General features: G+C 46.1%; 1 protein-coding gene across 10 annotated transcripts in view; it reads right to left on the bottom strand.

The window, feature by feature from the left end:
- RAD51 (RAD51 recombinase) overlaps nt 1,752-9,404 on the bottom strand; it is a 37,608-nt gene continuing 29,955 nt past the window's right edge. For 8 of the 10 annotated variants that reach the window (XM_011521857.3, NM_133487.4, NM_002875.5 and 5 more), the window contains 4 exons: nt 5,268-5,381; nt 4,458-4,587; nt 4,118-4,239; nt 1,752-3,037 (listed from right to left, as the gene is read on the bottom strand). In XM_011521857.3, coding sequence (XP_011520159.2) covers nt 2,914-3,037; nt 4,118-4,239; nt 4,458-4,587; nt 5,268-5,381 — 490 coding nt within the window. In that variant the 3' untranslated portion in view covers nt 1,752-2,913. The remainder of the gene's footprint in view (nt 3,038-4,117; nt 4,240-4,457; nt 4,588-5,267; nt 5,382-9,404) is intronic. The other 2 variants (XM_011521861.3, NM_001164270.2) reach the window with 1 other exon arrangement.

Genomic DNA, 9,404 nt, shown 5'->3' with positions numbered 1-9,404 from the left:
GCCTCAACCTCCTGAGTAACTGGGATTACAGGCATGTGCAACCACGCCCGGCTAACTTTGTAATTTTAGTAGAGATGGGGTTTCTACATGTTGGTCAGGCTGGTCTCAAACTCCTGACCTCAGGTGATCTGCCCGCCTCGGCCTCCCAAAGTGCTGGGATTACAGGCGTGAGCCACCACGCCTGGCCAGTTTTGTATTTTTAGTAGAGATGGGGTTTCGCCATGTTGGCCATGCTGTTCTCAAACTCCTGACCTCAGGTGATCCGCCCACCTTGGCCCCCCAAAGTGCTGGGATTATAGGCATGAGCCACCATGCCTGGCCTCCTTATATGTATTAATATCTCATAACATCATGTTGTATACCTTAAATATACAATAAACTAATGTAACAAACAGGAAAACGTTTTGGGTGGGTCACTGAGCACTTTGGGTAAGATCTGGATTGGAAGTCCTAACTAGTGAAAAGAGGTAAAGGGGAAAAAAAGAGTCCCATAAACTCCATTTGGCATCTGGCTTCCAGGGACATTGACAATGCTACTTTTCAATCTGATTTTTTTTGAGACAGGGCCTTGCTTTCTCACCCATGCTGCAGTGCAGTGGTGTGATCAGGGCTCACTGCAGCTGCTACCTCCCGGCCTCAAGGGATCCTCCCACCTCAGCCACCGGAGTAGCTAGGGACTACAAGTGCGTCCCACCATGCCCAAATAATTTTTTAATTTCTAAATTTTTTGTACAGGGTTTCACCATGTTGCCCAGGCTGACCTCAAACTCCTGATTCAAGTGGTCTACCCACTTTGGCCTCCCTAAGCATTGGGATTACAGATGTGAGCCACCGCACCTGGCCCAGTCCCTGATTTATTTATTTATTTATTTATTTAGAGACGGAGTTTCGCTCTTGTTGCCCAGGCTGGAGTGCAATGGCGCAATCTCGGCTCACCGCACCCTCCGCCTCCCAGGTTCAAGCGATTCTCCTGCCTCAGCCTCTCCAGTAGCTGGGATTACAGGAATGCACCACCATGCCCAGCTAATTTTGTATTTTTAGTAAAGACGGGGTTTCTCCATGTTGAGGCTGGTCTCGAATTCCTGACCTCAGGTGATCCACCCACCTCGACCTCCCAAAGTACTCACACCTGTGATCCCAGAACTTTGGGAGGCCGAGGTGGGCGGATTACCTGAGGTCAGGAGTTCAAGATCAGCCTGGTCAAAATAGTGAAAAACTTCTCTACCGAAAATAAAAAAATTTGTCAGGCGTGGTGGCACGTGCCTGTAATCCCAGCTACTCGGGAGTCTGAGGCAGGAGAATTGCTTGAACCTGGGAGGTGAAGGTTGTAGTGAGTTGTGCTACTGCACTCCAGCCTGGGCAACAGAGTGAGAGACGGTCTCAAAAAAGACTAGAACGGCTTTTAAAACAAAGCATTGTAGAGCTATGTGTGGTGGTTCGTGCCTGTAATCCCAACACTTTGGGAGGCCAAGGCCGGCAGATCACTGAGATCAGGCGTTCGAGACCAGTCTGGCCAACATGGTGAAACCCCATCTCGATTAAAAATACAAAAATCAGCAGGGCGTGGTGGCGGGCGCCTGTTGTCTCAGCTACTTGGGAGGCTGAGGCTGGAGAATTGCTTGAACCCAGGAGGTGGAGGTTGTGGTGAGCCGAGATCACGCCATTGCACTCCAGCCTGGGCAACAAGAATGAAACTCCATCTCAAAAACAAAAAAAAAAAAAAAAGGAAAGGGGGGCCACAAGGCAACCCATGGTATGTCTTTCTTTTATTTTTCCATTAGCTTTTAAGCACAATCATCTGCAAGTGGGACTTTCCTTTCTGGTTTCAAATCTTGAAGCAACAGAAACTGATCACCCCTATACAGTGCCAAAAAGATTATGGAAACCCTGTCTTGAAATAGCTTGCACTGCAATAATTGCTATAAACAGCACATTCACTACTAATAACTACTTTATTAGAAGCCTCACAATCAAATCTGTTTACTTACCCTCTGAAATGTTTCTTGTTTGAAACATGGTCTCACTCTGTCACCCTGGCTGGAATGCAGCAGTGCAATCTCGACTCACTGCAACTTCCACCTTCCAGGCTTAAGTGATTCTCCCACCTCAGGCTATCGAGTAGCTGGGACTACAGGCACGTGTAACAGTGTGTCCAGATTAAGTTCTGCATTTTTTGTAGAGATGGGATTTCACCACCTTGGCCAAGCTGGACTTAAAACTCCTGGGCTCAAGCGATCCACCTGCCTCGGCCTCCCAAAGTGCTGGGAGTACAGGCGCAAGACACCACACTGGCCTGAAATGCTTTAAGACTCTAGGATTATCTTGAGTTAGTCTTAGCAATGAAAGACCAAGCAGGTAGATGGTGAAGGGCTAATGGCCTAGTAGGTTTGGCACAAGACTCCATAACCAAAACCTTACACAAGATCATTCAGACAGACAACTTAAAAACCTGCTTGAGAGTTTTACTGACAGAAAAAAAGAATCTGTGCAGACCCATTCCCTTTGCTACATAGCTGAGGCATTTTATTTTACCATTAATTTAGAAGTGAGAGAAGGGTCAGGTCTCTCCAGCTTTAGTTCTCTTGGAAACATAAGATTGTCCAGTAGACAGCTTGTTAAACCCAAGTCATTCCTAAGGCACCATGTCAAAGATACTTCATACCCCTCCTCCAAAACCAAAGAAAACACACAGAGATTAATACACTACAGAAGGAATAAACATTTTAGATCAGTTTGTGACTACTGACCTGTCTCCTGTTTATACCATCAGAAAAGCTGATATAATAGCTGTTTTCCCGGAAGCTTTATCCTGGCAGTCACAACAGGAAGAGGCCTGTAGAGAACCCCAGGGAGCAGTGCACTCTCATTAGGCTGCAGCACTTAAGGTTTTTAACAGAGGAAAAACCCAATGATTCAGTCTTTGGCATCTCCCACTCCATCTGCATTAATGGCGAACATAGCTTCAGCTTCAGGAAGACAGGGAGAGTCGTAGATTTTGCAGATTCTGGTTTCCCCTCTTCCTTTCCTCAGATACAATCTGACCCAAAGACACAGACCAAAGCACCAATTTATTATAATTAAACAATTCCGTTCCTGACTTTGTAACAGAGCTGAAAATTTTTTAGACATATATTCTTCCTAGAAGGACCCTGGGAATGTTTCTGTACTGTTTTCCTTAGTGCATTTCCAACCTGGCAGAATCCATTTTTGCCCTGGCCCCTCTCAGTGGATTGTCCATATTGAAACAAACATTAAAAAAAGAAAAATTTAGGCCGGGCATGGTGGCTCACGCCTGTAATCCCAGCACTTTGGGAGGCTGAGTTGGGCAGATCACGAGGTCAGGAGATCGAGACCATCCTGGCTAACACTGTGAAACCCCATCTCTACTAAAAATACAAAAAAATTAGCCAGGTGTGGTGGCGGGTGCCTGTAGTCCCAGCTATTCGGGAGGCTGAGGCAGGAGAATGGTGTGAACCCGGGAGGCGGAGCTTGCAGTGAGCCGAGATCGTGCCACTGCACTCCAGCCTGGGTGACACAGCGAGACTCCATCTCAAAAAAAAAAAAAAAAAAAGAAAAAAAATTTTTTCAAGACAGTGTCCTGCTCTTTTGCCAGGCTGGAGTGCAGTGATGTGTGATCATAGCTCAATACAGCCTCGAATTCCTATGCTCAACTGATCCTCCTGCCTCAGTCTCCTGGGTAGCTAAGACTACAGGCACACGCCACCACACCAGCTACTTTTTTTTGTAGAGACAGAGGCCTCACTTTGTTGCCCTTACTAGTGTCGAATTCCTGGCCTCAAACCATCCTATCACCTTGGCCTCCCAAAGTGTTGGGATTACCAGTGTGAGCCACTGTGCCCAGCCCAAACATTTTTTAAATAACAGGGGAGAGGCATATCAATTACTCATATTCATTCTTCCACACTTGTGGGTTTTTAATTCTTTTATGAACTAAAACATCTATACCAACGAGAGCATGTTAATTAGATTAGCAAGAGTTCCTAAGTGTCTATACAACAGTAGCTTTAACAGGGCTTAAATGAAAATGTTATATCTTCATGTCTTCACAGTTAATATGACATTCCGAAAAGAAGAACTGATCCCATCAACACCTTACCTGGTTGTTGATGCATGGGCGATGATATTTCCTCCAATAGGTTTTTTGGGATCAGCAGCAAACATCGCTGCTCCATCCACTTGAGCTACCACCTGATTAGTGATTACCACTGCTACACCAAACTGATGGGGAAAGGATAAATGTCAATTTTGTGGCCATAGACACTCCAAAAGCCTTAATGCTGCCACCACTTTCCCCCACAAAATAACGAATAACTAATGTCTCTCTTCTTCCTAAGAGCTTGATGATCTCAGGCACTGATGTCTTAGCCTCCTAGCAAGGCTCCTGGAATTCACAGCCACTGAAAGTAGGCATTCTCTGTCCCTATCCCACAACTTACCTCATCAGCGAGTCGCAGAAGCATCCGCAGAAACCTGGCCAAGTGCATCTGCCTGGCTGAAAGCTCACCTCGACCCGAGTAGTCTGTTCTGTAAAGGGCGGTGGCACTGTCTACAATAAGCAGTGCATACCTACAGGAAACAAGGATTCTCTGAAGCCTATTTCTAGCCTGTGTCAGATTCTGGTCCCTTCCTTACCACCCTAAAATCTCATATTCATAGTTTTTCCTGTATACAGATTTTTTTTTTTTTTTTTTTTTTTTTGAGATGGAGTCTAGCTCTGTCGCCCAGGCTGGAGTGCAGTGGGGCATTCTTGGCTCACTGCAAGCTCTGCCTCCCGGGTTCACTCCATTCTCCTGCTTCAGCCTCCGGAGTAGCTGGGACTACAGGCGCCCGCCACCACACCCAGCTAATTTTTTTGTATTTTTTTAGTAGAGACGGATTCACCGTGTTAGCCAGGATGTTCTCGATCTCCTGACCTTGTGATCCACCCGCCTTGGCCTCCCAAAGTGCTGGGATTACAGGCTTGAGCCACCGCGCCCGGCCTGTATATAGATGTTTTATTAAAATATTTGCACAGTACTAACATCTGAGGCACCGTTTAACAAGATTTCCAGCAAGTTCAAGTAGATTATGGTTTCATTTTTAATAGTGACTTGACCTAAACTACAAAGCAAGAGTGTCAACACAGGAATTATACTTAAACCTCCTCATTTCTAATTCAAACTACTATCAATCTGGCCAAATAGCCATTACAAGATTCAGGGAAGGACTCTTAAGAACATATTTGGTGTCTTATACTGAACACATACCTAGATTCTACCATCATGGCTGATGCTTGATAAAGGAGCTGGGTCTGGTGGTCTGTGTTGAACGCTCGAGCATATGCTACATTATCCAGGACATCACTGCCAGAGAGACCATACCTATGAGAGAGGAGAGAACATTTTTAGGCTGCACACAGAACTCAGGCAGATGAGCAATTTGTTTCTGACACTTAAATTACCTGAATAGGTAGGGAAGAAGTGGTACTGACAGTAGTTTCAGGACCAAAGAATGTATTTCCCTTTCTATTAAGAAGTTCAGGCAAACTATAAGCAGAGAGATGATAGCACCCAACTACTCTGGAGCTCTACCTGGCAAGTCTTTGGGATAAATCAAATCCATTCTTTTTTTTTTTTCTTTGAGACGGAGTCTTGCTCTGTCACCCAGGCTGGAGTGCAGCGGCGTGATCTCATTGCAACCTCCACCTCCTGGGTTCACGCGATTCTCCTGCCTCAGCCTCCAAAGTAGCATGGAGCTATGCAGCACCATGCATAGCTAATATTTTTATTTTTAGTAGAGACAGGGTTTCACCATATTGATCAGGCTGGTCTTGACCTCCTGATCTCATAATCCGCCCACCTTGGCCTCCCAAAATACTGGGACTACAGGCGTGAGCCACCACGCCTGACCTAAATCAAACCTATTCTTTGAGGGCCAGGTGCGGTGGCTCACGCCTGTAATCCTAGCACTTTGGGATGCCGAGGCAGGTGGATCACCTGATGTCAGGAGTCGGAGACCAGCCTGGTCAACATGGCAAAACCCCATCTCTACTAAAAATACAAAAATTAGCCGGGCGTGGTGGCAGGCACCTGTAATCCCAGCTACTTGGGAGGCTGAGGCAGAAGAATCGCTTGAACCCGGGAGACAGAAGTTGCAGTGAGTCGAGATCATACCATTGCACACCAGACTGGGTGACAGAGTGAGATTCCATCTCAAAAAAAAAAAAAAAAAGAGAATGTTTACATAAAACCCAGTGTGCTATGATTATGTTCTAGGTTCACGATTCTGTCATGAGGATAAACAGATGGCATTAGGATAGAGTTACACCTTACGATCCTGACCAAATAAAACAAGAATGAAGAGATATAAGTTTTCTCTATTTAGATCATGAATGTATGGTGAAAAAAAAAAGATGTAACAGGTGTAAGTACTTTACTGCACAAGTCTTCTAGTTCTGCCTCAAGAAACACTGATATGGCTGGGCGCAGTGGCTCACACCTGTAATCCCAGCAATTTGGGAGGCTGATGTGGGCAGATCACTTGAGATCAGGAGTTTGAGACCAGCCTAGACTACATGGTGAAACACCATCTCTACTAAAAATACAAAATGTAGCCGGGTTGGTTGCAGGCGCCTGTAATCCCTGCTTCTCAGCTACTTGGGAGGCTGAGGCAGGAGAATCGCTTGAAACCGGGAGGCAGAGGTTGCAGTGAGCCGAGATCGCACCACTGCACTCCATCCTGGGTGACAGAGCAAGACTCTGTCTCAAAAACAAACAAACAAACGAACAAAAAAATACACTGATATAATCTACTATCAGAAAGGGAGAAAAGGCTGGGCACGGTGGCTCATGCTTGTAATCCCAGCACTCTGGGAGGCTGAGTGGGGAGGATTGCTTGAGCTCAGGAGTTTGAGACCAGCCTGGGCAACATGGCAAAACCCCATCTCTATTTATAAAATTAAAAAAAAATTAAAAATTAAAAAAGAAAGGGAGATTATCTATTTGCTATAAAAACAGAGAAGGTTTACCAGAATAAAGAGTTATCCTAGCTTTTCTCTCAGCGGCACTCACAAAAAAAACTATGGGAACCTCTGTGCTTAGGCTCCAGAAGCAGGACATGGAATTCCCACAGCTTGGGACAAGTTGGCTGGAAATACCATCCTCTTTTTTTTTTTTTTTTGAGACGGAGTCTCACTCTGTCGCCCAGGCTGGAGTGCAGTGGCACGATCTCGGCTCATTGCAAGTTCCGCCTCCCAGGTTCACGCCATTCTCCTGCCTCAGCCTCCCGAGTAGCTGGGACTACAGGCACCCGCTACCACGCCTGGCTAATTTTTTTATTTTTAGTAGAGACGGGGTTTCACCATGTTAGCCAGGATGGTCTCGATCTCCTGACCTTGTGATCCACCCGCCTCGGCCTCCCAAAGTGCTGGGATTACAGGCATGAGCCACCGCGCCCGGCCATAGCATCCTCTTTCATAGTGTTTCTTGAACTTCCTTAAAGATAATAACCTGGAACACCCGTTAGAAAACAAATTCCTGGGCAGGCTGTGGTGACTCATGCCTGTAATCTCAGCACCTTGGGAGGCCAAGGCAGGCGGATCACTTGAGGTCAGGAGTTCGAGACTAGCCTTGCCAACAAGGCGAAAACCCATCTCTACTTAAAAAATACAAAAATTAGATGGGTGTGGTGGTGCACGCATGTAATCCCAGGTACTTGGGAGGCTGAGGCAGGAGAATCGCTTGAACCCGAGAGGCGGAGGTTGCAGTGAGCCAATATCACGCCACTGTACTCCAGCCTGGCAGCCTGGGAGACAAGAGTGAAACTCCGTCTCAAAAAAAAAAAAAAAAAATTCCTGGGCCTAACCTAGACTCAATGAATTACAATTATCAGGGAAGAGCCTGGTAATCTGTATATTTAACAAATACCTCAGGTTATTCTTAACATATAAGTTTGAAAAACTAAGCTCATCTCAAAGGAGTTCTGTCATTCTTTCACAGTACTTCAGACTTTCAAGAAAGGCTAGCAATTGTGGTCATGGTTTTCAAACTTTAGCAAGCATCAGATTACCTGGAGAGCTTGCATTTTTTTTTGTTGTTTTGTTTTTTTGAGATGGAGTCTCACTCTGTCGCCCAGTCTGGAGTACAGTGGCACGATCCTGGCTCACTGCAACCTCCGCCTCCTGGGTTCAAGTGATTCTCCTGCCTCAGCCTCCCGAGTAGCTGGGATTACAGGTGCCCGCTAACATGCCCAGCTAGTTTTTGTATTTTTAGTAGAGCAGGGTTTCACCATGTTGCCACGCTGGTCTCAAACTCCTGACCTTAGGTGATCCACTCCCTTGGCCTCCCAAAGTGTTGGGATTACAGGCGTGAGCCACCGTGTCTGGCCCTGGAGAGCTTGTTAAAACAGGTTGCTAGCCCGAGTATCTGATTGTTTCTGATTCAGTAGATCTGAAGTCCCATCAGACAATTTGCATTTCTAACAAGTTCTCAAGTAATGATAATGCTGCTGTTCTGGGGACCATGTTCTGGGAACCCCAGAGCTACAGTAACATGCATGTGGGCTAATATTCTTCAACAGGGCACGGCAAAAATTAATCAGTAAGGGCTCTTTTGTTGTGAATGAAAGAGGGCTATTTTTATTAGCTTAAGGAGGCCTTGTGACATTCTCAGAAATATAATTCAATTATAAAATTTTTTTCTTGATAAAGAGACCTGATTAAAACAAATTAATGAAATTTCTATGTAAACATATTTTTCAGCGAGGCACAGTCACTTATGCCTGCCTGTAATCTCAGCACTTTGGGAGGCCGAGGAGGGAGAATCACTCTAGGCCAAGAGTTTGAGACCAGCCTGGGCAACACAGCAAGACCTCATCTCTACAAAAATAAGAAATAGGCCAGGCACGGTGGCTCACGCCTGTAATCCCAGCACTTTGGGAGGCCGAGGCGGGTGGATCATGAGGTCAGGAGATCGAGACCATCCTGGCTAACAAGGTGAAACCCCGTCTCTACTAAAAATACAAAAAATTAGCCGGGCGCGGTGGCGGGCGCCTGTAGTCCCAGCTACTGGGGAGGCTGAGGCAGGAGAATGGCGTGGACCCGGGAAGCGGAGCTTGCAGTGAGCCGAGATTGCGCCACTGCAGTCCGCAGTCCGGCCTGGGCGACAGAGCGAGACTCTGTCTCAAAAAAAAAAAAAAAAAAAAATTAAAAAAAATTAAAAAAAATTAAAATTAAAAAATACAAAAAAATTAGCCGGGTGTGGTGGCGGAAGCCTGTAGTCCCAGCTACTTGGGAGGTTGAGGCAGGAGAATGGCGTGAACCTGGGAGGTGGAGCTTGCGTGAGCCGAGATCGCACCACAGCACTCCAGCCTGGGCGACAGAGCGAGACTCTGTCTCAAAAAAAAAA

This window comes from Homo sapiens, chromosome 15, assembly GCF_000001405.40.
Source record: "Homo sapiens chromosome 15, GRCh38.p14 Primary Assembly".
In the NCBI taxonomy this organism is placed as follows: domain Eukaryota; kingdom Metazoa; phylum Chordata; class Mammalia; order Primates; family Hominidae; genus Homo; species Homo sapiens.
The sequence above is the reverse complement of the archived record's forward strand: the minus strand, read 5'-3'. Positions and strand labels throughout refer to the sequence as shown.